Raw genomic sequence first — 26,877 nt, forward strand, 5'->3', positions numbered from 1 at the left:
TCCTGGGCTCAAGTGATCCTCCTGTTACAGGATCTTTGGGGTGTCACTTTTGACTGGAAACCTCTGTGGCCGGTGGCACCTTTGCCCGAGTTCTCGTTCTGCATCCAGGAAGAATGAGATACGCAGACAAGCAGAGGGTGAGCACGACAAAGAGGAGCTTTATTGACTGTTAGAACAGCCTGAAGGAGCCCCGCAGCGGGTAGCTCCTCTCTGTAAGCAAGTCGTCCTGTTGAGTGTTCATCTCTCAGCAGAAAGGAAGCCCTGGTGACTCCTCTCTGCAGGGGGATTGTCCCAGTGTCTGCCCAGCTCCTAGCAGAGAAGAGGCCCTGGAGTGGGTTGCTCCTCTCTGCAACCGGTAGTCCCAAGGTCTCTGCAGGTCTCTGAAACTCTCAGCAGAGAGGGTAGCTCCTCTCTGCGGCTTGTTTTCCCATCTGCTCAGCTCTGGTTGAGCCAAGGTTTTTATTGGCCTTAAAGGGGAGGAAGTGCATGCTGATTGGTCCCGGGGCAGCCATGGGCAGCCCGGAGAAAGCATCACAAGTTCCCACTCCAGTGCTCCGGCACTGGCAGCCTGGCCCCCAACCTTCAGGCCCTCCCTGGCCTGAAGGTAGGGCCTCACCAGGGACCCGTCCTCTTTTGCCCAGGAATCTGTCTGCCTTCTGCTGCCGTTCATGGCACCAGGGCTCAGCCCCGACTTTGCTCTGAGATTGGAGCAGGCACCAGGAACAGGGAGAGGCCAGGCACTGGGAGCAGGCACTTCTGGGCCTGTGAGGGGAGGAGGGCCTTCCCGGGCCCCCAAGAGTGCAGGGATGCCTGAGTCTGCAGCCGCGGTTTGGGCAGCCGCCGCTGGGCGGGGAAGGGGCCGGTGAGGTTCCTGCCTGCTCCGTGGAGCGGGAGGCCCGGGTTGGCAGCCACGGTTTGGGCAGCTGCAGCGGCACCGGGGAGCTGCTCCTGCCCCAGCTCAGAAGGGGCAGGGCTCCTGCTGGTCCCCGGCTCCTGGCAGCGGCAGGCCGTCTGGAGCGGCCACTGCATCACTCCCACCTCAGCCTCCCAAGCAGCTGGAATTTCAGGAGTGAGCCACTGCACCTGGCTCATGTGATGCTTTTCTAAAATGAAACTGTCTTTTGAAAATATTCAGATTGACAGTTTAATAAATGATGCTTTGCAGAATACCATAAAATAAGTGAAACAAAAATAGATTATTTTGAGTGATTTTAGATATTACATGTTAGGCAAAAAATATTTTACATCTTAGGGGATCACAAGAAATTACTGGAGGCCCAAATGGTGGCATGTTATTAACTTTAGGTGAATTTATAGCTAACCATAAAAAAAGGGAACCAGGAGCCGTGGCTCATGCCTGAAATCTCACTGTTTTGGGAGGCCAAGGTGAGAGGATCATTTGGGGCCAAGAGTTCCAGATCAGCCTGGGCAACATAGCAAGACCCACTCTAAAAAAAAAAAAAATGCCAGGTATTGTGGTATACACCTCTAGTCCTAGCTATGCAGGAGAATTGCTTGAGCCCAGAAGTTCAAGGTTAAAGTGAGCTATGATCGTGCCACTGCACTCCAGCCTGGGCAACAGAACACAACTCTGTCTCCAAAAGAATAAAATAAAAAAGGATGTTGTGCCTAATAACATTAAAGCAAATGTGTACTGCTACTAGAAAATTATATTTGATTTGAGATATTATCAAGAATGAAAGAAGCAAATACTTTTGCTTCCATTTTTAAAAAGACAGGGTCACATTCTGTCACCCAGGCTGGAGTAATCATAGCTCACTTCAGCTCTGCCTCCTCAAGCAATCCTCTCATCTCAGCCTCCTAAAGCACTAGGATTACAGTCACAAGCCACCACATCTGACACCCTGCTTTTTAAGAAAAATTTAATTTTTTAAAAGAGATGGGGTCTTGTTCTATTTGCCAGGTTTGTCTTGAACTCAACGGCCTCCTGCCTCTGCCTCTCGAAGTCCTGGGATTACAGGCAGAAGCCACCAAGCCCAGCCCCTTACTTTTGATTGTGCACCAGATGTAGCCGATTGTGAACAAGTGTGTCAGACTATGAGCACACCCACATGAAGAATAATGCCATTAACAGTAAAAGAAGTTGCATTGACTTTACAGAAATCAAAGAAAAAACTAGGTCTAGCTTATGAAATTAGAGATTGGAAAAAGGTGTTAACATAAAACACGCTTGTGGCCAGGGATAAGATCATGGAACAACTATGGCAGGTTATACAAGGGTGTATAAGCTACCATGACCCTCCAAAAATGATTATGCCAAATTGTGTCTTCCTCGGCTCATAATTTTTTTTTAAAGAGATAGGGTCTCACTTTGTTGCCCAGGCTGGAGAGCAGTGACATGAACACAGCTCACCACAGCCCCAAACTGCTGTGCTCATAATTGATATGCAAAAATTCTGCTTCTGTGAAATGAAATGTGACGACTTGTTTTAGTGTTGTATGTTTGTGTTTGTGTGTGAATTCAATATTCTTACATCTGTTTAAAAAAACTACATTAAAAACACACACGGATTCCCCGCGGAGATCAAGATCAAATGCAACCAAGGCACTTCACAAACTAAAGATATTTGTAAACACTGAATTTTTTTTTGTTTTTTTTGAGACAGAGTCTTGCTTTGTCGCCCAGGTTAGAGTGCAGAGGTGTGATCACCTAGCTAATTTTTTAATTTTTTGCAGAGACAGGGTCTCACGTTGTTGCCCAGTCTGGTCCCTGAACTCCCAGGCTCAAACAATCTTCTGGTCCTGGCCTCCCAAAGTGTTGGGATTACAGGCATGAGCCACTGCACCCAGCATGAGAAGCTTTTTAATACTACCAGTCACGGTGGCATTTTTTTTTTTTTTTGAGACGGAGTCTCACTCTGTCGCCCAGGCTGGAGTGCAGTGGCGTCATCTCGGCTCCCTGCATGCTCCGCCTCCCGGGTTCATGCCATTCTCCTGCCTCAGCCTCCCGAGTACCTGGGAATACAGGCGCCCACCACCATGCTCGGCTAATTTTCTGTATTTTTAGTCGAGACGGGGTTTCACCGTGTTAGCCAGGATGGTCTCAATCTCCTGACCTCGTGATCCACCCACCTCGGCCTCCCAAAATGCTGGGATTACAGGCATGAGCCACTGTGCCCAGCCACGGTGGCATCTTTAAAAGAAATTTCGGTCAGCTGAAGTTAGTGAAAAATTATTTAAGATCATCACTTGGTCAAGAGAAATTCACATGACAATTCTCTCAACTGAAAAACGAGATAGTAGATTTTAGAAATATTCACGAGTTTGTTTGCATTTAAGTAAGGAGAGTAAACTTACCGTTTTTGTATAAGTAAAATATTGAAACTTAAAATATTTGAGTTTTAATATACACACTTCCCAATTTTTTTTTTATTTTCCACTTACTGAAACATTGTGGAAAAAAAAATTAACATTGAAAAACACATTTTTCGACCAGGTGCAGTGGCTCATGCCTGTAACCCCACCCAGCACTTTGGGAGGCCAAAGGCAGGTGGGTCACCTGATGTCAGGAGTTTGAGACCAGCCTGACCAACATGGTGAAACCCTGTCTCTACTAAATATAAAAAATTAGCCAGACGTGGTGGTGGATGCCTGTAATCGCAGCTACTTGGGAGGCTGAGGCAGGAGAATCGCTTGAGCCCAGGAGGCGGAGGTTGCAGTTAGCCGAGATTGCGCCACTGCACTCCAGCCTGGGCAACAAGAGCAAAACTCCATTTCAAAAAAAAAAAGAAAGAAAGAAAGAAAAGAAACAAAAAACACACACACACACAAAACACATTTTGTTCCTCTTGCCTCAGGCTCCAGCATCACTCTCCTGCACGGGAGGGCACTGGTTGGAAGGTGTGTGAGGGAACCTTCTGATGGCCACGCTCAGGACCTTGAGAAGGGTTTGAGGCACAAAACAGCACACACTTGTCAAAACTCAGCAGGTATTCACTCGTGAGCAGGGCATTGCACTGAACGCCAAGCTTTCCATCCAAAGGAAAACCCGGTGGCAAATGGACTGTAACGATGTGCGCACTGGAGTGTTAGGGAAGCCGCCTGAGGTCTATAATTTACTTGGAAATGCATAAAAAATAAAACGGATCAAAGCAGGGAGGATTAACTAGATGTGACAAAGTCCAGTAACATGTGAATGGCACACTCAGGTGGTGGGTGTATATCCAGACGCGCAATGTAAAATTCCCGCATCGCTGCTGAGAGCCGGCAAATGTCCGTCGCCAGGTGTTGGGGGCGAAGGGAGGTCTAGGCCTCTGCTCCTCTGCTTCAGATGCCGGCAGGCCCCGGAGGAGCGCCCGCGACCCCTCGGAGGCTCTCCAGGTGGGCGGCTGGGGTAAAACACAGTATCCTGAGGGAGAAGTGGCCAAGCCTTACGGGGGATGGATCAAGTTGTGGAAAGAAGGGGCAGAGAGCAGAATGTGGCACTGGGCGAGGGGAGACACGGAGCGTCCTCAAAACAGGGGGTGCCTGGCCCAGGACTTCCTCACCCACCCCCGCCCCCCACCGAGTCTGTCCTCCTTTCCCCTCCACTCTGTCAAGCACAAGGCAAGGCCAAGGCTGACAGATTGGCCGGTGAATAAATTGAAGACCTTTTCAGATTTAGTTTATTACTTGCACAGACAACCAAAGAAAGAATGGCCAAAGGTGCCCAGTCCCCATGGACCTTGCGCAGGGCAATGCCCAAAAGTGACCACATGACGGCCACATGGATGACAGGACACGGGGCTGCAAAGAGCTGCAGCCACGCTAAGTGCCCAAGGTGACCTCAGCGGAGCCTGGGAGGCATCAGGAGCCGCAGGGAGGCGAGAGGGCCCGGCTGTGCCCAGGAGCATGGCGATGCCCTCTGCTGAGAGCCGGGTGCAGCTGTGGCCCATGTGGATACGTGCAAGAGCACCAGGGCAGAGCTCTCCCCTGACTCGTCCCTGGGCTTTTCCCTCAGGTTCCTCCACTCCCAAGACGACACCATCAGGGACTCTGGAAACAAACAGATTGGGGGTCCCCTCTAGCTTTGAGGAAAACACAAATAAGTCACTCATAAGCTTAAGAAAAGATGCTCTGTGTCACTCAGGAAATGGGATTTAAAAATCGTCAGACAGCTTGGAAAGGCTTAAGAGAAGGAGGGGCGTCGCAGAGGCCCTCTCAGGGTGCAGCTCTGTCAAGGGGTAACAAGTGCAGTTTCAGTTTTTAAAATCACAGTGAAACACCAGAGTAAGGACAGAGTGAAGAGAGCGCTGCCCTCCCTGATGAGACCAGACCCACTCCTGGAGGGTAGGGACAGTGGCAAGAACACAGACACAGGTGGCTGCGTGGGGGCTGTGGTGGGCAGCCTGTGAGATGGCCCTCAACGCCCCCAACTCCTGGTCTGTCTGTCCTGTGGAACCTCCTCCCCGGGGCTGAACCTACACAAACAGAACACAGCAGAAACAGGGGAGAATTCCCTTCGGCTGCAGGAGCCCGCCTTCGCGGCTTGCTCAGCTATGCGGGAGCTGTGCCAAGGAAAGGTCCGTGCAGCAGAGAACTGAGCGAGGCCTCCAGCCAAACAGCAGAAAAGATCGAGGCCCTCACTCTAATAGCCCATGAGGAACTGAATCCTGCCCACAGGCGCGGGGCCAGCAGAGAAGCCGAGCCTCCCCGCACGGAGCGTGCAATCTACTCACAGTCCGGCCGGGCCCTGACTGAGGCCTCGGGAGGGACCTTGAGGCAGAGGCTCCTTCCCCGGGCCTGGATGTCTGACCCACAGACACTGTGCAGCTACGTTTGTTTGAAGGCACTAAACTGCGGGCAATTTGTTACACAGCAATCGACAACTTTCTGTTCCCTATTTCTGTTCTTTCTCTTCAACAGGGCTGGGTGTGGAGTGGCCCACTCCTGCCAGCCCTGCTCTGCGCACCCTCATGGGCTGAGCTGTGGGGTGAGCCGGGCCCTGTCTTCCTCCCTGCCCTGGCCCTGTCCCCCGATGCCCACCCCCGAGAGTGGGGAGGGCGGTGGGGCTGCGTGGACTCTGATAAGCCTTCCAGTTCCAACTGCCAGGGCGCTGCTGCCCAGGGAGCCGTGAGGAGCGAGGTCGGGCATGCACGAGCTCTGCCTCTGATGGTAAGAAGGGGAGAGAGGGAAATGGGGTGAAGCTAGCGAAGGCAGCACGCGCCCCAGGGCAGACCCCACGCGCCAACACAGCCAAATTCCCAGCAGTGGGAAGGCCCTGCACTTCACTCCTGCCCTGTCACTGGGAAATTCCCAAGTCAAGATGGGGAGCATGGTGGCGCCTGGGGTCTGAAAGGCAAGGCCCCCTCCTCTGTCTCATCCTCCAACCTCTACCTGTCCTGCAGGGCTCACATGCCACCTCCTCCAGGAAGCCTTCCTTCAGGAGCCTGCCTGTCAGAGGTCATCTCACCTTTTTCTCATCTCCCATGCCCTGTTGATTGTTCTCTCATTGCCTTGATTCCTATACACAAATGGTCAGGAAATGTCTGTCCCTCGGAAATTCCACTCTCCTTAAGACAGAGGCCCTGCTCCACCAGGAGCAGCTAAAATTTCCTATTGAGACTCCTCCTGGTTACAGGGGCACAGGTTGCCCCCAGGGATCTGTTCTCAGCTTCCCAAAGGCAGGGTGTGCCTCCTCCCACCTTCCCGCATGCTGCCGGTGCCACAGAACCTGTGCAGGGCCCAGGGGAGGCGCCCACACACTGTACTTGTAGGGCACAAAGGGACAGCCCTCTCTCTCCAGAAGTCCAGGGACTCAGCCTTGGTGCAGACTGGGTCTTAGGCAAGGCAAAGCCAGAGGACAGGATCTGCACGGACTTCTGGAAGAGGAACCAGCCAGCAGCCAGCCTCCTGAGAGGAGCTAGAGGTCTGGGGGTTCTCACCTGATCCTTAGCTAGAAAACTAGGGCTGGGCTCAGGGCGTGCCCCAGGGCTATTTTGTTCCATGCCATGTGCCGCTCCCAGGAGAAGTGGTACTTCTCCCTCCTGACTCTGTCCCCACCTCCCTAAACAAGCCTGTGGCCCTTTAACAAAGCCCAGAGTCCCATTAAAGATCCTGCCTGGTGCTGGTCCTCAGCTACATGGACTGGGTGGCCCTTTTTATAAGGAATGGCAGCATCAGTTCCCCCTTTCCAGCGGCCTTCTCCACAGGGCTGGCCTGACTCCCCACAGCACTCACCTGGGCAAGTGCGGGCCCATTCCCCGGCTGTCCTCCTGCTGTCCCCCGCAGGTCTTTCTCAGCATGGTGAACATGGGAGCCGGGGCTCTGTCTGCATGAGGGAGGTGCTCAGACCCTGCAGGGCGGGAACAAGGTGGAGGAAGTCGCTGGCGCTGCAGAAGCTGGGCAGTCACCCCCTCCACACCCACTACCAGGGAAGGGGCAGGAAGCATCAGGGGAGTCACCTGCTCTCGTCTGAGAGGGAGGTAGAGGCAGAGGGAGGCTAGAGAAAGACAAAGAAGGCAAGGCGGGGCAGAGGCAGGGAAAGCCCAGCAAAAGTGGGTTGGAGGAAGAGACAGAAACAGGGACGAGAGAATGAAAGAAACAGAGAGAGGCAGAGAGACAGGGAAGAGAGGAGAGAGGAAGGGAGCCAGAGAGAGGAAGAGAGAGCTGGTGAGATGGGGAACAGAAGGATATGAAGGCAGGGGAGGATGAAGACGCAAAGAGAACGAGGTGGAAACAAAGAGAAAGGGAATTCCAACCAACAGTAGGCACTGAGAAAACGGCTTTCCATGCTATTTCATTCAACCCTCAAAACAAGTAGGTACTACTGCCATTCCCATGATGTGGATGAAGAGACAACGGTTTAAGAGATAAAGAGGCAGGAGAGAGAAAATATGAGGCAGGAATACAGACAAGACAGAGACTGCGTATTCAAGGATCAAGAGACAACAGGCTGGGCGTGGTGGCTCACGCCTGTAATCCTAGCACTTTGGGAGGCTGAGGCAGGTGGATCACCTGAGGTCAGGAGTTCGAGGCCAGCCTGGCCAACATGGTGAAACTTCGTCTCTACTAAAAATACAAAAATTAGCTGGGTGTGGCGGCGGGCGCCTATAATCCCAGCTACTTGGGAGGCTGAGGCAGAAGAATTACTTGAACCCAGGAGGAGGAAGTTGCAGTGAGCGGAGATCGTGCCACTGCACTCCAGCCTGGACAACAAAGCACAAACTCTGTCTCAAAAAAAAAAAAAAAAAAAAAAAAAAAGACAACAACAACCCAACAGCCTAACTGCCCATAACAGCATAAACTTGAGAAGAAATGCTGTCTGTCTCCAGCAACTAGAAGAATGCCTGACAAAGAGCAGGCCTCCAGTTAACAACTGTGGAATGAACAAGCAAACATTATCTGGACTATGCCGTCAGGGAAATAAAAGAAGCCTTGGAAACTGCATAAAACGAGGAGTGACCAGGAAAGGCTTCAGGCAGGCAGTCTATCTGAGCCAAACCTGGAGGCATGCAGAGGGCAGAGCAGCGGCTTTGGCCATGCAGCAAACCAAATATCTGGCAAGGGCATGGAGACAGAAGGTGGTGGAGGGGGTGTGGAGGCAGTCAGTAAGTTCTGAGTTGGCCCACGTGAGGACCAGGCCTACTATTCTTTGAGAATCTGCAGTGTTGGGCTTTTGAAAAGACTGAAGCTCAGGGCGTAACCTTCAAGGTGGGGGTTTTCTTAATGACCACTGCCATTCTCCAGGTGACAGCCAAGAACCTGAACTACGAATGCAGGAGCCGGACAGGGGGAAAGGGACGTCTAAGACTCATCCTCTTGTTCGTTCAACCTGTTGAAGTGGCAGGATTGCCAGTTCCTGGACGCTACCTGCAGGGCTCCAGTGTCCCCTGGAACCTGGGAGGTCAAGGTTGCCCAGGCAGGGCTCCAGGGAGGTGTCTCCATGGACCGTCTGGTTTCCAGCCTGAAGGATTGATGCCCTTGTTGCTCTGAAGGATCCAGAACATGAAGGGAGGAGCAGGTTTTGTTGGAAAGCTGAGTTCACATTTGAACTTGTTGCAGAACCTGTGGGATTCCTGAGAGGCGACAGCCAGGGGCATTTGGATAAACTCTATGAGAGCTCCAGAGAGGGCTGGGCTGGAAATAGATTTTGCAGCTGGTAGCACAGCAGGTGAAGCCATGGAGATCATACAGATTACAGCCTAGAAGCTAGAGAAGAGGGCCTAGCAAAGAAATGTGGGGCACAATATTTAAGAAGACAATATTCGCCGGGCACGGTGGCTCATGCTTATAACCCCAGCACTTTGGGAGTGAGGCAGGTGGATTGCTGGACCAGCCTGGGCAACACTACAAACATCTCTCTCTACAAAAAAAATACAAAAATCAGCCAGGCATGGTGATGTGCGCCTATAGTCCCAGCTACTTAGGAGGCTGAGGTGGGAGGATCACTTGAGTCTGGGAGGTCGAGGTTGCAGTGAGCCATGATCGTACCACTGCACTCCAGCCTCCAGCCTGAGACAGAGTGAGAACCTGTCTCAAAAAAAAAAAAAAAAAAGACAACATTTAATATCCAGTTGTGAAGAGCCACTGCCAGAACCTGAGAAGGAATGGTGGAACAAGAAGAGCAAGAAGACTAGACAGAGAACAATTTTTTGAGATAAGGTCTCACTCCCATTGTCCAGGCCAGAGCACACTGGCGTGATCTCAATTCACCGCAGCCTTGACTTCCCGGGCTCCAGTGATACTCCCACCTCAGCCTCTCGAGTGGCTGGGACTACAGGTGCGGGCCACCATGTCTGGCTAATTTTTTGCATTTTTGGTAGAGATGGAGTCTTGCTATGTTGCCCAGGCTGGTCTTGAACTCCTGGGCTCAAGCGATCTGCCTAACTCAGCCTCCCAAAGTGCCGGGATTACAGGTGTGAGCCACCGTGCTCTGGCAAGAACAATGTTTTAAGAAGCATGAGGATGTTGAGTATCAAATGCCGCAAAGTTCGGGTGAGAAAACTGAAGAGTCTACTCGGCAATCAGGAGTTCATTGGAGACTCTGGCAGAAGTTTTCTATAGTAGAATGGCAGGAAATGTAGCCATACTGAAATTTTGTTAGGGACAAACAGGTGATGAGGAAATGAAGAAAATGAGAATGAAGACTGTTTTTAAGAAACTGGAGTGTGAAGAAAACAGTAGGACAATAAGTAAGAAACCTCAACGGGGTGTGAGGACAAGTTCCCCAGGATAAAGTGGATAAGATGGAGGTTGGCACTTAAGATTTGGAGCAGGTTCAACAGAGAGGAATGGCAAGGTTTGAGGGATGGTTCCTGACGTCTAAGGGCGCATTTAATATTCTTTCAAGGTTAAGGTGGGGCAAGATCTGGAGGAGAGAGGATAGTACCCCAAGTGTCATCATCCATTGACAGGTCAATAGGTAGTACAGCGACATGGGAACAGAGCAGGTGTGCACAGAAAGCATGGTTTCCCAGGGAGGGCAGTATTTTTCCATGAGGATGCAAGAGTGAAAAGCCTGGGAGATTCCACGAAGAGCTGAGGGGCTTCTGAGCCACAGCTTAAACCTTAACCCTCCTCCTCTCAGATACATTCAAATCCAAGTACTGATAATAATCTAGTAAGACCTGGGCTTCCCTGGCTACCGTCTATCAAGGAATGCCAGTGTCTGCCTCTGGGCAGTGCGCGTTGGATTTGGGTTCTCTGCGGGGTCTTGCTGATCTTAAAGACAATGCAGGGGCCTTGTGAGTCTCACCTCTGTACCCCCAGCACATAACAGGTGCTCAACACATTCGCGAGGGGAGCGCTGAGCAAAGCGGAGGCCCGGGTTCCCTCCTGGAGAAACCTGCTTCCCCTCCAAGGCCTCAAGCGTCCGCTCCTTCACTGACCTCAATCGTTGATTTCGGCTGCACTTCCTATCCCTGGGGGAGCTTTCAACGCTCCGCCGTCCAGGCCGCCGGGCCCCGCAGCCCGCGCCCCGCTCTCTAGGGCTGGGCCCCCAGGGGCTGGACGACCTCTCTCGCCTTCGCTTTCTCAAGCGTAAATCGGGCGGCGGGGGCTGCAGAGCCTTCATCTCTTCCTCCGTCCCGGGATGTCGGAGAGACGGCAGCCCAGCCTCCGCCACCGCAAAGCTGCTTAACGGGCAGCGCGAGTCCCTCGGGCACCGTTGGAGGCCGTTGCTCACCGTTGGGCAAGTGCTTTAAGAAGCACGAGGATGTCGAGTGTCAAATGCGGCAAAGGGCTCAGAGCTCGCCGCCAAGGGGCGTGGCCTCCGGGCCGCGGCGGCCTCTGGGAGTTGTAGTCCCGCCTCAACTTGTGGTGGCCTCTTTAAAAAAACAAAAAACAAACAAACAAAAAAACACTGGCGCTTGGGTCCGTCGCTGCCTCGGTGTCCCTGTCGGGCTTCCCAGCAGCGGCCTAGTGGAAAAGTAAAAGATGTCTGAATATATTCGGGTAACCGAAGATGAGAACGATGAGCCCATTGAAATACCATCGGAAGACGATGGGACGGTGCTGCTGTCCACGGTTACAGCCCAGTTTCCAGGGGCGTGTGGGCTTCGCTGCAGGAATCCGGTGTCTCAATGTATGAGAGGTGTCCGGCTGGTAGAAGGAATTCTGCATGCCCCCGATGCTGGCTGGAGAAATCCGGTGTATGTTGTCAACTATCCGAAAGATAACAAAAGAAAAATGGGTGAGACAGAAGCTTCATCAGCAGTGAAAGTGAAAAGACCAGTCCGATTTAATAGTGTTGGGTCTCCCATGGAAAACAACTGAACAGGACCTGAAAGAGTACTGTAGTACCTTTGGAGACGTTCTTATGGTGCGGCAAAGCCAAGATGAGCCTTTGAGAAGCAGAAAAGTGTTTGTGGGGCGCCGTACGGAGGACATGACTGAGGATGAGCTGTGGGAGTTCTTCTCTCAGTATGGGGATGTGATGGATGTCTTCGTCCCCAAGCCGTTCAGGGCCTTTGCCTTTGTTCCATTTGCAGATGATCAGATTGCGCGGTCTCTTTGTGGAGAGGACTCGATGAAAGGAATCAGCGTTCACATATCCAATGCCGAACCCAAGCGCAATAGCAATAGACAGCAAGAAGTGGAAGATTTGGTGGTAATCCAGGTGGCTTTGGGAATCAGGGTGGATTTGGTAAGAGTAGAGGGGGTGGAGCTGGTTTGGGAAACAATCAAGGTAGTAATATGGGTGGTGGGATAAACTTTGGTGCGTTCAGCATTAATCCAGCCATGATGGCTGCCCCCCAGGCAGTGCTGCAGAGCAGTTGGTGTACGATGGGTGTGTTAGCCAGCCAGCGAAGCAGCCAGGCCCATCGGATGATAACCAAAGCCAAGGCAACATGCAGAGGGAGCCAAACCAGGCCTTCGGTTCTGGAAATAACTCTTGTAGTGGTTCTAATTTTGGTGCAACAATTGGTTGGGGATCAGCATCCAATGCAGGGTCGGGCAGTGGTTTTAATGGCGGCTTTGGCTCAAGCATGGATTCTAAGTCTTCTGGCTGGGAACGTAGACAGTGGGGTTGTGGTTGGTTGGTATAGAATGGTTGGAATTCAAATTTTTCTAAACTCATGGTAAGTATATTGTAAAATACATATGTACTAAGAATTTTCAAAATTGGTTTCTTCAGTGTGGAGTATATTCAGTAGTATTTTTGACATTTTTCTTTAGAAAAAGGAACAGCTAAAGGAATTTTATAAGTTTTGTTACATGAAAGGTTGAAATATTGAGTGGTTGAAAGTGAACTGCTGTTTGCCTGATTGGTAAACCAACACACTACAATTGATATCAGAAGGTTTCTCCTGTAATATTTTATCCCTGGACTTGTCAAGTGAGTTCTTTGCATGTTCAAAATGGAAGCCATGAATTAGAACTACATTCTTTATTCCTTGTTTTAATTTGAACCCCACCATATGGATTTTTTTCCTTAAGAAAATCTCCTTTTAGAAGATCATGGTGTCACAGTTTGGTTCTTTTGTTTTGTTTTTTAACACTTGTCTCCCCTCAAACACAAAAGTACAATATGAAGCCTTCATTTAATCTCTGCAGTTCATCTCATTTCAAATGTTTATGGAAGAAGCACTTGGTTGAAAGTAGTGCTGTAAATATTCTGCCATAGGAACACTTCTGTCTACATGCCTTCTCATTCAAGAATTCGTCATCACGCATCACAGGCCGCGTCTTTGACGGTGGGTGTCCCATTTTTATCTGCTACTCTTTATTTCATAGAGTCGTATCAACGCTGTGAACGCAAGGCTGTGATATGGAACTAGAAGGCTGTTTGAACTTTTGAAACCTTGTGTGGGATTGACGGTGGTGCTGAGGCATGAAAGGCTAGTATGAGTGAGAAAAGGAGAGAGCACGTGCAGAGACTTGGTGGTGCATAACGGATATTTTTTAACTTGGCGAGATGTGTTTCTCAATCCTGCGGCTTTGGTGACAGTGTGCAGACAGCAATGATAGCAAATAATGTACGAATGTTTTTTGCATTCAAAGGACATCCACATCTGTTGGAAGACTTTGAGTTTTTGTTCTTAGATAACCCACTTTATTTGAATGTGTTAAGTGAAATGATACTTGTACTCCCCCTACCCCTTTGTCAACTGCTGTGAATGCTGTATGGTGTGTGTTCTCTTCTGTTACTGATATGTAAGTGTGGCAATGTGAACTGAAGCTGATGGGCTGAGAACATGGACTGAGCTTGTGGTGTGCTTTGCAGGAGGACTTGGAAGCAGAGTTCAGCAGTGAACTCTGGTGTCTCAAAGAAGGGTAGAAGTTCTAATGTCTGTTAGCTACCCATAAGAATGCTGTTTGCTGCAGTTCTGTGTCCTGTGCTTGGATGCTTTTTATAAGAGTTGTCATTGTTGGAAATTCTTAAATAAAACTGATTTAAAAAAAAAAAACCAAAAATCTAAGTAAAGGGGTCGGAACTACATCTCCCAGGAGGCCCCGCGGCTCGCCTCTGGCGGGGCGGGGCTGGAGGGGGCGTGGTCAAGGCCTCGGCTCCTCCGAGCGCCTCCCAGCTCACGGCGCCCCCCGAACCCGGCTCCAAGGGACTCGGTATTCCCCAGCGCCGGCTCCGGGCAGTCCCGGAAGGGCTCAAGGGCTGGGCGACTGGCTGATCGAGACCGTCCGGGTCCTGGCTCTCGGGTCACTTGCAGAGGCCTGAGCAGAGCGTAGGGAGGGCTGGAAGGGAGGAGCCCCGGGGGGCGGCGGTGCTGAACCGGGTAGAGTCTTGAAGGTCACGGTCAGGACTGGAGTGGGAGGGGAGTCAGAGGCCTGCTGCGGAGGCCCAGGTTAGAAACGAGGCTGCCTTGGACTCGGTCGGTGGCAAAGAAGACGACACGTGGAGGCAGGGCTTAGAAGTAGAGCTCCGCCGGGCTTGGTGGCTCACGCCTGTAATCCCAGCACTTTGGGAGGCCTAGGCGGGCAGATCACGAGGTCAGGCGATCGAGACCATCCTGGCTAACACGGTGAAACCCCGTCTCTACTAAAAATAGAAAAAATTAGCCGAGCGTGGTGGCTGGCGCCTGTAGTCCCAGCTACTTGGGAGGCTGAGGCAGGAGAATTGCTTGAACCCAGGAGGCGGAGGTTGCAGTGAGCCTAGATCTCCCCCACTGCACTCCAGCCTGGGCGACAGAGTGAGACTCCGTCTCAAAATAATAATAATAATAATAAATTAATAAATAAAAATAAAAAAGAAGAAGAAGTAGTGCTCATGGGCTTGACTGATAGGACGTGGGATGGCAGGAAGAGGGTGAACTTGAGGGTGACATCTAGATTTTTTTGCTCAATCCATGGGGTACCAAGAAGTGGTAATGCCTGAGGATCTGTTGTTTTGGTGGTGGTGTGAGCCCATCTGACATCTAAGTGCAGTCACTGAGTGGACAGGAGGATACAGAGGAGCCAGCCGCCTGGAGAGGGGCTTTGAATCAAGGGCATGGGATTGGCAAAACGGGCCAGATGGTGTCACTGGGTGTGGGGGCGGCAGGGAAGGCTGAGGACAGAGCCTTGGGAAGAACACGTCCAGTTGGAGGGCGGCAGGGAAGGCTGAGGACAGAGCCTTGGGAAGAACACGTCCAGTTGGAGGTCGGCAGGGAGGAGCATTGAGTACAGGGGACTGAGGATGGCCGATGAGGTAGAAAGAAGGCTGGTGTGGTGCCCTTGAGACTGGAGAAGGAGCCTCCAGATGGATGAGTCATAACCCACGAGAAGTGAAGCTGACATGCGGACATGCCCACTGGGTTGGGAAACATGCTCGTTACTAGAGATTTTGACTGTGCAGTTCCAGTGGAAGGGTGGACAATAGCTTGATTGGAAAGGAATGAAGAGGAATGGGATGCGTGGAAGTGGAGGCAGTAAGTGTAGATGACGCTTTCAAGGAATTTTGCTTTAGAGCATTGAGACAGAGGCTAACAGTATGTCACATCCAGGGAGGTTCTTCCGAGTAAAGGTATTCATATTACAGCCCGTTTGTAGGTTAATGAGAATGATCCAGAAGGGAGGAGAAGCTAATGGTGCAGTGGAGAGCAGAGTCCCTGAGCAGGTGAGCAGGGATGGGGGCCCATGCCCATGTCGGAAGCGGGCGCCACACTGCTTCATGATGGAAGGCAGAACGCCTGGGCCAGGGTGCAGGCAGGTGTCACAGAGAATGTCCTTCATGACCACATCCTAGTTCCCAGAACCTGCGAATATGCTACTTTACATGGCAAAAGGGAGTTTGCAAATGTGATTAAGAATTAAGCTAAAGACCTTCATACAGGGAGATTATCCTGGATTCTCCAGGGGGCTGGTGTCATCACAAGGATCTTTAAAAGTAGAAGTAAGGAGGAGACGTGACCAAGGAAGAAGGGTCAGAGAGACGCAATGCTTCCGAGGAACTCTGAGGATGGAGGAAGGGACCATCCTCCAAGGAATGTGGGTGGCCCCTGAATGAAGAGGCAGGAGAAGGCACACAGCCCTGCCTGCCAACACCTTGATCTTAGCCCAGTGAATCCTGACAGACTTCTAACCCGTGGAACTGCAAGACAATAATCGTGTGTTTGAAGCCACCAAGAGTGTGGTCGTTGGTTTTGGCAGCCATAGAAAAGTAATACAGTGGGTCAGGGATCCGGGTGGGAAGGAGACAGCCCTCAGAGAAGGGATCCGGGTGGGAAGGAGACAGCCCTTAGAGAAGGGATCCGGGTGGGAAGGAGACAGCCCTCAGAGAAGGGCTTGTGGGGAGCCTGGGGGTGCTGGGAGAGGAGCTGGTGTGAAACAACCAGCTGGCTGGGAAGCTGGTGGCCCCAGGCTGCACCGCAGGCAAGAGCAGCTCTCAGCCCCAGGAGGCCAACAGTGGTCACTGGTGTGGGAGCCAGTTACATTTCCAAAAGAAGCTGCACTTGAGGATTACTGTGAAGCTGACTTTAGGGCTGGAGGGGCACAGGGCCAGAGTTCTGGGTTAGTGGCTTCTGACTCTGGTCCTAGCAACGCTTTTACTCCAGGTCAGCCTCCTGCACCTTGCCTCCTGGGCTTCCCCTTGACCCCCTCCTAGGGCATCTGGGAAGGTGTGATGAGTGGACTTGAGAGGTGAAAGTTGTTCCTTTGAAGCAGTCCATGGCTGATGCTCCCTGAATGGCATGAGAGCTCATTGGCATGGCCTCTGGGTGCTACTGGAAACCAGGGCTTTCAGGATGGCCCGTTATCCATCCGTGTCCTGGTGGGTACATCCTACATCAGCCTGTCTGAGGACATTAAAATAATCCCAGGAATGATATTTCCATTGCTCAAGACTTCTTCTGTGGCACTGGCTCCCCCACTGCCCCAATAGCTCGGCTCCAGATGATAAAGCTGCATCTGGTTATAGCCCAATGGCTTCTATGATTGAATTGAGGTGAGCCAGAGTGAACCTCAAACTTTGAAACACCCCTGGTGGCCAGGACCTGCTTGGGGGCTTTTGTAAAGGGGCTGCTGGGAAAGGTGTTCTTAAGGCAAAAGCACATGTCCAGAGAGGAGACCCCGACGTCAATCCTAAGTTGTCACACCTTGGCCCTAGCCTGGGGACTGCCAACCCACAGTGAGAAGCTGCTGCTTTGGGGTCCTGGAGCAGGAGGAGGGGGCTAGGCTAACTGTGGCGGTGACTTCAGCCGGCTGACCACGTGCTATCTGCAGGTCTGGCCGAGCCCAAGAGGGCAGGCTCCCGCACCCCAGCTGCCCATCCTGCCACCCTCCATCCCTGAGGGTTCTGACCTCCTGGACCCAGTTTGACCTAACGCTCAAGCCCCCTGGGGCCTTGGCGCTTTCATTTCAGGCCACAAACTGGGTGGGTCTCCTTGACCCTGAAGTCAATGGCAGCAGTGGGGAAGTTCCTTCTTCAGTCAAGATAAGCAACAACCTCACACAAGTAGACTCATGTCTATGTCATGCTCGTGGGTCCTAAAACAGGTCTTTAAAAGATACTTTCAAACCAAATAGGTAGCAATTAGGCATTATTTTATTATTCCTGAAGCTCATGAACAAGAAAATGGCACAGAGACAGGTCATCTCCCTATTGCTGAGTTACCCTGGAGACAAGCCTCATGCAAACAAACTCCTTCTCCAGGACACACAATGCCCAAGAACAGGCTGGGTCTGAGGACCTGCCTAGCATGGGGGGCAGAAGCACTGCCTGCTGCAGAGACAGCCACGGAGTGCATCCCCACCACCATCACACTGCTCACTCTGCTGAGAAAGGGTGAGGTTTTAAAGGACATTCACCAGCCTCAGATGCAGGGGAAATGTGCTTAGTTTAGCATTTACATATCTTGACACAGTAATGACACATCACTCAACAATACTTCAAGGGTAACTAACTCCAAAATTCTTTATTTAGTAAAATTGTCACATTTGATGTCAATGGAATACACAAACTCAAGTGTGCTACAAACAAGATGTACAGAGCATCACAGCTCTGGGCAGTGCAGCTCAGTGCACCTGCCTCTCATCTCCCCGCTGAAGTGGCAAGTTCAAGCTTTTGTTTAGCCCAGGGCTGCCTGGAACACTAGTGCCCAGCACCATTTCTGCCACCTCTGCCCCCAGAGCCCGCACAGGGCTGGTGAAGCCTGGGTGGGTGAACCTGGGAGAGCGCTGGCAGCTCTACAAAATTCTTCCTCCTGCCCGTAGCTCCCTCCCTCCACCCACTCCAGAGCTGCAGGGTCCCTAAAAGTTTCTTAAGAAACGGGGCTGGGGCCTGACTGGGCTGGTTACCAGGGGCTGCCCTGCAAGCCATCCATCAGAGGAGGGAGGGAAGACCTGGGAGACTTCCAGGGCCCTACCCCACCACATCTGAACCCCTGGGAGGAGGGAGGAGATCCAGGGAGGGCCGGGCCCACCCCCGCAGGACTCTGGCTGGCATTGGTCACCAAGGCCTCCAGACACTCCGGGCAATTTGGGCTGTGGTCAGGCTGCCCAGGGCTGCGGGCACCAAGTCGGGCCCCTCAGCAGGAGCCTGACTCAGTTCAGCCTCAGGGGCCTCCTCCAGGTCGGAGCACAGGTCGTCCCCAGGACCCGGGGGGCTGGGTATTGGGGATCCCGGAGCGCCCCCCGCAGGCCAGCCACTCCGTCCAGGGGCTCTAGGTGGCCCCGCCAGGGCGTCCCCCAGCAGATCCTGGAAGCTGCTGCCCTCACGCAGCGGCATGGACTCGAGCAGATGGTTCAGGAGCTCGGCAGCGACGGTAGCGTCGATGGCCTGGCACGTGGACACGAACGTGTGCACCTCGTGCATGCACTGGATGTAGCCGGCAGCGAAGCGCTCGCTCGCTTCCGCCTGCAGCTGCTCGCGCTCTGGGCCCGAGGGTGGGAGGGAGAGAGCCGCGTCCCGCGCGGTGAGCGGCGACTGCGTGGCCCAGCCCACCCGGCCCGCGGGGACGCGGCTCACCCAGGAGACGCGGGGGCGCACCCTGCTCCGGTGGGAGCCCTCGCCGCCGACAGGACAGGGGCGCCGGGAGGGAAGTCCTCCGTCTGGCAGGGGTTACAGGCGCCCGCGGCCGGCGCCCCCGCCCGCCCCGCCGCCACTCACCGCGCGCCCGGCCCCGCAGCACACCCTGGACCCGCCGCACCGTCAGCTCCAGCACTTCGGCGTTCTCCAGCTTGGCCTGCACCTGCGCGGGCGGGAAGGGCGGTGAGCCGGCAGCGCGCTCCCGGACCCGCCCGCCCGCCCCGCAGCCCCACGGCGCCTGCCCGGCCGCCGCACCTCGGCGCCCGCCAGCAGCAGCCGCAGCTCCTGCAGGCTCTCGTTGATCCGCGCGCGCCGCTTCTTCTCCACCAGGGGCTTCCGGGCCTGCGGGGAGCGGGGCACTGAATCCCAGCCCCGCACGGCCTCCCGCCCGCTTGCTCGCCCATGGCCCCGGCCCGCACCTTGCGGTCCCCTCGCGTCTCCCAGCCGTCCTCATCCTCACGGCCCACACGGTCCCGGCCAGGCGCCGCGGGTGGCGCCATGCCCGCTCCGCCGGGGACGCGGCAGGGGCTAGGAGCAGCGGGGACGGGGAGCGGCGGGGACCGGAGTGCCGGCGCCCTCCGCTGCCCCGCGGCCGCCCAGCAGCAGCCCAGCCGTCCGCGCTCCTCGCGGCTTCCGGCCCGCCGCGGTCCCGCCCCTTTTATAGCCGCTTATTTGCATCTCAATGCGCCGATTGGCCGCGCGGGCCCGGGGCGGCCGACCGCGAGGCGCGCTGCAGCCAATCGGGGCAGCGCGCTTTGTCCGGCCCAGCGGCTCTGGCGGTCGGGCAGCTGGCTGAGCTAGGCGGGGCCCCCAGCCCGGCCTTCCCTAGACCCCCGCGGGGGCGGCACCGGGGCGGCGACCCCGGGTAGCTGCGGCCCTGCCCGCGCTTGTTTCTCTCCGTCTGCTGCTCTAGGACCACTGATCTGCCGCGCGTGCGAGCAGGCGTCCACCCGTCCGTCCGTCCGTCCGTCCACTCATTCATTCACCCATTAATTCATTCATTTCCCTCCTTCGCCGATGGCGCCTCCAGAGTTGAGCGCTGGGGCCACTGGCCCCAGGAGATGCGTCCCTGGTGTGCAGAGCCACAGTCAAGTCCGCGGTCTCTGGACCTAGAGGGGTTTCAGGTCCCGGCTGGGGTGGCTGCCAAGCCCCGGGGAGGCAGGGTCCATTGGGCAGCGGTGGCGGGGCGGCCCCTGAGTTTCTTCCGGACTCGTCCAGACGCCGGGCCGGACCCCCGACGCCGCCCTCCGCCAGCACTGGAGTCCTAGTGGGGCGGGGTCCCGGGTGCTCCCGCCCGCGCCGCTCTCCCCCTGGGCTCTGCGGGTCACCAGCCCCGCCCCCCTCTGAGCTCCCCCATCTCCCTCTAGTCCCCTTTGGCCCCCGGGGCCCCCTCCCTCCCTTCCACTGCCCCCCGCCCGCCTCCCTCCTCCCCTCCTCGTCCTCCGCGCCCCGCCTCCCAGGCCCGCCGAAGCTGCCGTCTGGTCCTGTAACTTGATGCCCGTGACAGTTGGCAGCTGCGGCCGCTTCGGCGGAGAAAAGCGAGAAAAGCGGCGGCCGCGCCAAGAGCGACAGGTGTTGGCCGCGCCTTTGTCTCGCACCCTTTGTCCGGCGGGCAGGCGGCGGGCGCTTGTCCCGGCCAGACGCCCGCGACTCCCCCATCGCGGCGGGCCGCCCATCTGCTGGGTTCCTCTTGGCCGCGGGCGGGGTGCGTGGGCGGTGGGGCCGCGCCCTCGGGCAGCGTCCTGGGGACCCCTGCCCGGCTCCTGCCCCGGCGTCAGTCCAGACGCTGTGTGGAGGAGCCGGAACGGGAGACGCCTTCTCGGACCCCAGCCGGCCGACTACCAGCCTGCCCCGCACAGCACCTGCCTTCCTCAGTCCCCACTACTCACCCGGGCTGGGATCGTCAGGGTCTGTTCTGAGCCCCTCCAGGCTATAAGCGTCCCTGGACAAGGGCACAGTCTGACCTAGGACCCCCTGTCCACCTCCCCGCACCCCCAGCAGAGCCTGGCCTCACAGAAGCGCTGGTAGGTAGGGAAGGTGAGGGGTGGCCCTGGCAGGATGGGCTGGAAGGCCGCGTGGGAGGGGAACATCACGGGACCGCAGCAGCTGAGCGGAGCGGCAGGACTAGGCTGCAGACCGACCGCCCCACTGCCCCTAGAGAGGTCTGACAGGCCTCCCATGGCCCCTTTACTTGCGCCTCTCCACCAGAGGGACCCCTGCAGGCTTCCTGCTGGGTGAGTTTGGTGAGAGGTTTGAAAGCTCCCAAAGTCACCTCACTGACCTCTGTAATTACCTGGGACCCCCTCCCGCTGGCTCCCAACTGTCCCTGCTCTGGCTCTTGGTTGCTCTATGAGCAGGGTCCTGAGACTTCCCCCAGCCCAGCATCACTCACCTGGGTGTGAAACTACCGCTTTACTTCACACACTCCCCACCTGCCCAGTAGTGGGGCTGGCAGGGTGGGGCTGGAGTGGTGGATCCCAAGGAAGTGGATTATTAGCCTGTGACTTTACTCTCCTTCACCACTTAGACATCACCCCAGGGAAGGAGAACCTCCACTCCCCCAAGTGGCTACAATGACATTTCCACTACTTCGAGAAACTGTGATAGGGAAAAATAAACTCACTGATATTTCCTGTACTCCCAAGTTTGCAAACTGATTTACACTCCTCTCATTATCCAAACGAACAAGGCCAAGTAGATGTTTTAGGATGCTCTCATCCTAAAACATCTGCTTTATGTTAGGCAATTTATATTGCAACAGGATGATCAGGGCCCCAAAAGAGGACTTTGGGTAAAGCCTGACTGAACACTTGATTGGATGGGGAACTGGATTTGAGGGGCAAGGAGGACATGATAAAGGCAAATGGTGCAAGCAAAAAAAAAGAAAGAAAAGCAACTAGGAACTCTAGGAAAAACAAAAAGCTTCCCAAGAAATGTAATCTTAGCACATTACTTGGCTCAGGAGACAATTTTCACAGTCACAACAATGTAACAGTGTTCATAGGGTTTTAACATTTAGAATTAATCTATACAGAAGGCAAGGAAGGATTGTTTATGGTTATGGGACATGATATAAAGTTGACCTTGTAAAAACAAAAGGACAGGTGATAGGAGTTATGAGAGAGGAGGCTAAAGGGAGGACTAGGGACCTCAAAAGCCTTGTCTGACAGTGGAGTGGGTGGAGGGTTGAGGAATGCTGTCTAGAGTTGAGGGAGGGAGAAATTAAGCACTGGGATATGCCTCGGTGTGACCAAGGATCCTACAGGGAAAAGAGCTTAAGTAGAGAAGGCTGTACATCAGCAAAATCCTTCTTGGTTGGACTGGAAGTTGCCCAAGGTCCCCTCTGCAAGGTCAGCTTCAATTCCCTTTAGCGGTGCACTGGCCAGCTGGCATGGCCTTTTTGTCCCAGAAGCCTGGCCTATCTTGAGGTCACCAAGCCCTCCCTCCCTCCTTCACAGCAGCCTCCCCTAGCCAACACTTCCTGCCATTTGTCCCTTGGGCCAGTCCTGCCTTCAAAGTTTGCCTGAGTATGGACTTCCTGAGCATTTGAGTCCTTTGATCCCCCTAGAGCCAGGAACAGAGGCCAGCAGAGGCTGGGCAGGGTGGTGGTTGCTGCGGGGATACCAGTTAGCAGTGGGGGTGGCAGGCCATAAATCCCTGGGGGAACAAAGGCAGCTGCGGCCTGTAGACTGTCCAGGCCCCTTGTGGGCAATCTGCCCAGGAGACTCAGAGAATCTCCGTTTGGTTTGGAAATAAATCCCTTGGGGTTATATGGTAAATAAAAATACAATTAAGAGTCTTCCAAAAGCACTCAGGTTCAGTGAAACAACCATATCTGGCCATTTAGAGCAGTTTGCAGAGGCCTCTGTGCTCGCTAGGGAGGACTTTGCCTTTTATCCCATCAGCACTTGGCGTTAGGCAGCCAGGCTAGCAGGCAGAGGAGAGCCCCTCCCTTCTGCTCAGGGAGCTTCTCAGAGGCTGGGCATTGGGTTCAGGATCCATTCAGCTCTCTGCTCCCACCCCCAGGGTCATGGTTTGAAGAGTGGGAGGGATGGGGAGCAACTCTTCGGGCTTCCACAGTTTTGGCCTCACAAGGCTTCATTCATCACTGTGAAAGAAGGGCTGGGGTCAGGGGACTATGCCGCCCTGCCCATATCATTCGCAATGGAGACATGTGACCTTCCTGGTGGAGCCTCCTGACCGCCCCACCTTTAGCCCTACCTAGCCCGATGACCAGAAGACAGGCAGCCAGCCTGGAAAGGCCAGGTAACCCAGGGCAGGGATGCAGGGAAGACAGAGGTGCGTGGAGGCAGAGCTGGGGGCACTCTGGGGCTGAGCCAGACAGCTGCACCCCTCCAACTAAAAGTGAAAAGACTGTGGGGCATGACACGATTAGGTTTGCATTACGTGAGTTCACTCCTGCAGCCTGAAGGAGGGTGTGTGTGTGACACGCACAGGAAGAAAGGGAGCCAGCAAGAAGCAAACGCTATAAGGGAGCTGACCGCCAGGAGGCCTTTGGGATGTAAGATTCTTTAATGCAGAATTCCTGGAGTTCTTTAAAAAAATTTTTTTTAAATAATCTTTGCTCTCTATTCAGGTTTTCCTTTGTGCTATGTGAAAAATACATACAAGTAAAAATAAAAATATACTTGCTTTATTTACCAATTTTCTAAAAGGCAAACAGGTCATAAAAAGACACAAGCAGTCAAACAAATCTATTGCACTGGGTAAAGAAAGTTTGGTTTGCACACAAACAAACCACTTGTCCAGCAAGGCTCAACAAATCATCACAGAAACTCTGAGAGCTTATTTACATATCTCTTCGGGAATATATTAAAAAGAAGGCTCAGTTTAAAATAGAGAAAAACTGTTTAACACCTGTGTAAGCACACACACTAAAGAAAACATGACTTGATGCTTGGCATCACGTAAACAAATTCACAAGATGATCCTATTAAGTCAACTGCTTGGCACGCGCTGAAGCTACAGTTAACAATCAGTGAGCACATATTAAATGATAAAATAATGCTGATGGTAAACATTCATAACAGCAGAGTAAGATTTTGGCAGTTTTGTGTTTCGGTAACATAACTGTAACCTTAGATGAACACCTATCCCTTCATGATCTGACTTTAGAGGCAAGGAGTTTGTAACATCTAATGGCCATAAGAATGCAGACTGCTACCTTATCATAGGCATAGGCAGCTGATGTTACTTTGTAAATTAACGAAAAATTAAAGTGTTCTTGTGTTTATGAAGAATAGGTTTAATAGTCAGGCATAAGATGGTTTTACGATGAAAACCTAGTGGATTACAAAGAGATTTCACCTCCATCAAAAAACAGAAAACCCTGGTCCCAGTTGGGCGTGGTGGCTCACGCCTGTAATCCCAGCACTTTGGGAGGCCGAGGTGGGTGGATCGCTTGAGGTCAGGAGTTCGAGACCAGCCTGGCCAACATGGTGAAACCCTGTCTCTACTAAAAATACAAAAAATTAGCTGGGTGTGGTGGCAGTCGCCTGTGGTCCCAGCTACTCAGGAGGCTGAGGCAGGAGAATCGCTTGAACCTGGGAGGCAGAGGTTGCAGTGAGCCAAGATGGCGCCACTGCACTCCAGCCTGGGCAAAAAGAAACTCCATCTAAAAAAAAAAAAAAAAAAAAAAAAAAAAGAAAACCCTGGTCCCTTTTAAGCCTCATAGTCTTGGTCCAATTTTAAGTCAACTGTTCTTCAGTGATAACTTTGAATTTCCACCAGGGACCAATATTAAATTTTCTGAACCATCTTTGGAATATACAATGCAACATGAGGTTTTGTAAAAAGCCGGGCAGACTGGCCTCACTTTTCCCCAAGTGTCCAAATGACCTAAAAGTGCTGGGGACACTGGCAGAGGCCTGAAGCTGCTCCGAGAGAGGTCGGGCTCATGAAAAGAATGAGGGCTGTGCACCCAACCCAGGGTGCAGTGGGAGAGGTGAGCTCACTGCACCCCTGAAAATACAGATGCAGTCGCAAGCTGTCAGACTGAGTGGCAGTGGCTGCTCTCGGCCAGGAGATGTGATGTGGGCTTGGCTGGGTGGAAGCAGATGTCTGGGTGGTTCCAACGGAAGAAAACCAAACAGGACTGGGTCTCACATGTGTTGGTCACAGCCTGGTTTGCAAAGGGAAGTCACCATAAAGAGATGACTGATGACATATTTTAATCTCCATATTGGCCATCATGGTCTGAAAAGGAGACAAGAATAATGCAGAAATATACAGAGGGTCTGTCTGCGTGTGCATTCATCCGATGGAGTTGGCCACACAAACCACTAGGCTTCTTTAGTCCAGAGCAAATGTTTCAACTTTGTTCACTACAAACAAAACCTATGTCAGACTGAAATATTGACCACACCAGAAGCCAAAGCTGTTGGTTTGCCAAACAACGCTTCACACCATTTAATGTGAAACGTTTTGAAATAAAACTAGGAGAGGCTGCTATCTCCATTTGGTATGTATAAAAAAACACTCTACCTTGACTAAATGATAATTCAGATAAAAAGCAGTCCCCAAGAGAGGACAAAATTTGATCTGATCCAAACACCCTGGGAAAGCTCTGGAAGCCAGAGTCCCCAGCTGGTGCAGCAGACAGAGGTCTCGTCACAGTCACAGGACTTCTGGGAGCACTGAGGCAACTTCCCTGACACTAAGAGGCGCTTAGTCTTTCTCAAGTTAAATAACAACTAAAATCTCTTCCCCATCCCACAAAACTCCACATATATATTTTATATATAAAAACATATTTCTTTCCGAACTCTCCCCACTCTCCACAGTTTTAAGTCGCCCCTTCAGAAAACTATGTTGTTTTTTTTTCTAAAACAAAAAAAGCAACATGAGCATATGTGTCCATTTCAGTGGAAACAGCCATGAAGATCTTTCATCTCTTCCAAGCACCACCTGGTGTACCTCGCTGGCTGCCGGGCTGAGGTGGGGCAGGGGTTACGTCTGCTCTTCGATCCTGTGATTCAAGGGGGATCCATTTTCGTCTTCTTTGGTGTCCGACACTTCGCTGAGTCCCAGAGAAGGAATATCTTCCTCATATGGTATGCAAATATTACCTTTTTCCTTGTTTTCACAGTAAACACATTCCTTAAAAGAAAAAAAAAGAGAAATCAGTAACAAACTTGAGATCTGAGTTGTTACAAAAGTCATTCAAATTGGCCGGGCGCGGTGGCTCACGCCTGTAATCCCAGCACTTTGGGAGGCCGAGGCGGGCAGATCACGACGTCAGGAGATCGAGACCTTCCTGGCTAACACGGTGAAATCCCATCTCTACTAATAATACAAAAAATTAGCTGGGCGTGGTGGCAGGCACCTGTAGTCCCAGCTACTTGGGAGGCTGAGGCAGAAGAATCGCTTGAACCCTGGAGGCAGAGCTTGCAGTGAGCGGAGATCACGCTACTGTGCTCCAGCCTGGGCGACAGAGTGAGACTCTGTCTCAAAAGATAAAAAGTCATTCAAACTGAGTAAGGTGCAGGTGACCAGGTGTCAGCCAGGAGGTGGCTGGCAGCAAAGGCCAAAATCCCTGTCCCAGGAGCTGGCACTCTAGTAGCAGAGAGAGACAATAACTAAGAAGGGCTCCAGAGGCATAGGGTATATAGAGGACATCTGTGATTTTCAACTGGACATTCACAGCAGGCCAAAGAAAAGGTGACGCAATGATTTTGAAACGTGTCCACACTCTTTGCCACTCCTTCCTCAAAAGGTGGGGCCTAATTCCTTTCTCCTTAAACCTTGGCTGGACTTAGGCATTTGCCTCTAACAAAGAGTACCTGACTTCTGATTCTAGGTCCTAAAAGGCACCTTGGCTTCCTCTTTTCCTCTCTGGGGAAGTCACCTGCTACACTGTGAGGACATCCAGGCAGCCCTACGGAGAGGTCCCCATGGCAAGGAGCTGAGGCCTCTGCCAAGAGCCAGCAGTGTGTGAGAGGCCTGCAAGTGAGGCT

General features: G+C 53.0%; 2 protein-coding genes, 1 long non-coding RNA gene and 1 pseudogene across 11 annotated transcripts in view, besides 9 other annotated features; 1 reads left to right on the plus strand and 3 right to left on the minus strand.

The window, feature by feature from the left end:
- Window positions 1-4,608: 4,608 nt before the first annotated feature.
- LINC02610 (long intergenic non-protein coding RNA 2610) lies at window positions 4,609-11,173 on the minus strand. Of its 2 annotated transcripts, none has more exons than NR_026926.1 (3): window positions 10,830-11,173; window positions 7,180-7,294; window positions 4,609-4,995 (listed from the first exon to the last, which is right to left on the minus strand). It is a non-coding gene; the product is annotated as a long intergenic non-protein coding RNA 2610 (long non-coding RNA). The 2 variants fall into 2 exon arrangements; NR_026925.1 differs by having other exon boundaries at window positions 4,609-6,108.
- An 8-nt stretch (window positions 11,174-11,181) lies between these two features.
- TARDBPP3 (TARDBP pseudogene 3) lies at window positions 11,182-13,841 on the plus strand (annotated as a pseudogene). Its single transcript, NR_026923.1, has one exon. The product of NR_026923.1 is annotated as a TARDBP pseudogene 3 (transcript).
- Window positions 13,738-14,239: an enhancer, noted in NCBI's record as "H3K4me1 hESC enhancer chr2:239142883-239143384 (GRCh37/hg19 assembly coordinates)". NCBI's record gives its function as "activates a minimal SCP1, AML or CMV promoter by ChIP-STARR-seq in naive H9 embryonic stem cells {active_cell/tissue: H9 hESC(naive)}" and the evidence as "EXISTENCE:reporter gene assay evidence [ECO:0000049][PMID:30033119]".
- Window positions 13,738-14,309: a biological region, named in NCBI's record as "H3K4me1 hESC enhancer GRCh37_chr2:239142883-239143384".
- Window positions 13,940-14,069: a silencer, noted in NCBI's record as "silent region_12490". NCBI's record gives its function as "represses an Ori minimal core promoter by ATAC-STARR-seq in GM12878 lymphoblastoid cells {active_cell/tissue: GM12878}" and the evidence as "EXISTENCE:reporter gene assay evidence [ECO:0000049][PMID:35858748]".
- Window positions 14,220-14,309: a silencer, noted in NCBI's record as "silent region_12491". NCBI's record gives its function as "represses an Ori minimal core promoter by ATAC-STARR-seq in GM12878 lymphoblastoid cells {active_cell/tissue: GM12878}" and the evidence as "EXISTENCE:reporter gene assay evidence [ECO:0000049][PMID:35858748]".
- HES6 (hes family bHLH transcription factor 6) lies at window positions 17,763-19,534 on the minus strand. 3 transcript variants are annotated; one of them, NM_001142853.3, is made up of 4 exons: window positions 19,321-19,534; window positions 19,157-19,243; window positions 18,983-19,058; window positions 17,763-18,747 (listed from the first exon to the last, which is right to left on the minus strand). In NM_001142853.3, exons 1-4 carry the CDS (start codon window positions 19,399-19,401, stop codon window positions 18,323-18,325), a joined length of 669 nt encoding a protein of 222 aa, NP_001136325.1. In that variant the 5' UTR covers window positions 19,402-19,534; the 3' UTR covers window positions 17,763-18,322. The 3 variants fall into 3 exon arrangements, with proteins under 3 accessions (NP_001136325.1, NP_001269363.1, NP_061115.2); NM_001282434.2 differs by having other exon boundaries at window positions 19,023-19,064; NM_018645.6 differs by having other exon boundaries at window positions 18,983-19,064.
- Window positions 17,965-18,533: an enhancer, noted in NCBI's record as "H3K4me1 hESC enhancer chr2:239147110-239147678 (GRCh37/hg19 assembly coordinates)". NCBI's record gives its function as "activates a minimal SCP1, AML or CMV promoter by ChIP-STARR-seq in naive H9 embryonic stem cells {active_cell/tissue: H9 hESC(naive)}" and the evidence as "EXISTENCE:reporter gene assay evidence [ECO:0000049][PMID:30033119]".
- Window positions 19,257-19,776: a silencer, noted in NCBI's record as "silent region_12492". NCBI's record gives its function as "represses an Ori minimal core promoter by ATAC-STARR-seq in GM12878 lymphoblastoid cells {active_cell/tissue: GM12878}" and the evidence as "EXISTENCE:reporter gene assay evidence [ECO:0000049][PMID:35858748]".
- Window positions 20,434-20,939: an enhancer, noted in NCBI's record as "H3K4me1 hESC enhancer chr2:239149579-239150084 (GRCh37/hg19 assembly coordinates)". NCBI's record gives its function as "activates a minimal SCP1, AML or CMV promoter by ChIP-STARR-seq in primed H9 embryonic stem cells {active_cell/tissue: H9 hESC(primed)}" and the evidence as "EXISTENCE:reporter gene assay evidence [ECO:0000049][PMID:30033119]".
- Window positions 20,940-21,445: an enhancer, noted in NCBI's record as "H3K4me1 hESC enhancer chr2:239150085-239150590 (GRCh37/hg19 assembly coordinates)". NCBI's record gives its function as "activates a minimal SCP1, AML or CMV promoter by ChIP-STARR-seq in naive and primed H9 embryonic stem cells {active_cell/tissue: H9 hESC(naive and primed)}" and the evidence as "EXISTENCE:reporter gene assay evidence [ECO:0000049][PMID:30033119]".
- The window catches only part of PER2 (period circadian regulator 2), a 56,022-nt gene continuing 52,684 nt past the window's right edge, over window positions 23,540-26,877 (minus strand). For all 5 annotated transcript variants that reach the window (XM_047446232.1, XM_047446231.1, XM_005246111.5 and 2 more), the window contains one exon: window positions 23,540-26,020. In XM_047446232.1, the coding sequence (XP_047302188.1) occupies window positions 25,871-26,020 (150 nt within the window). In that variant the 3' untranslated portion in view covers window positions 23,540-25,870. The remainder of the gene's footprint in view (window positions 26,021-26,877) is intronic.
- Window positions 25,644-26,843: an enhancer, noted in NCBI's record as "BRD4-independent group 4 enhancer chr2:239154789-239155988 (GRCh37/hg19 assembly coordinates)". NCBI's record gives its function as "activates an origin of replication core promoter dependent on BRD2, P300/CBP, MED14 and CDK7 cofactors, and independent of BRD4, by STARR-seq in HCT116 cells {active_cell/tissue: HCT116}" and the evidence as "EXISTENCE:reporter gene assay evidence [ECO:0000049][PMID:35650434]".

The sequence above is a fragment of the Homo sapiens genome, chromosome 2 (assembly GCF_000001405.40).
Source record: "Homo sapiens chromosome 2, GRCh38.p14 Primary Assembly".
In the NCBI taxonomy this organism is placed as follows: Eukaryota; Metazoa; Chordata; class Mammalia; order Primates; family Hominidae; genus Homo; species Homo sapiens.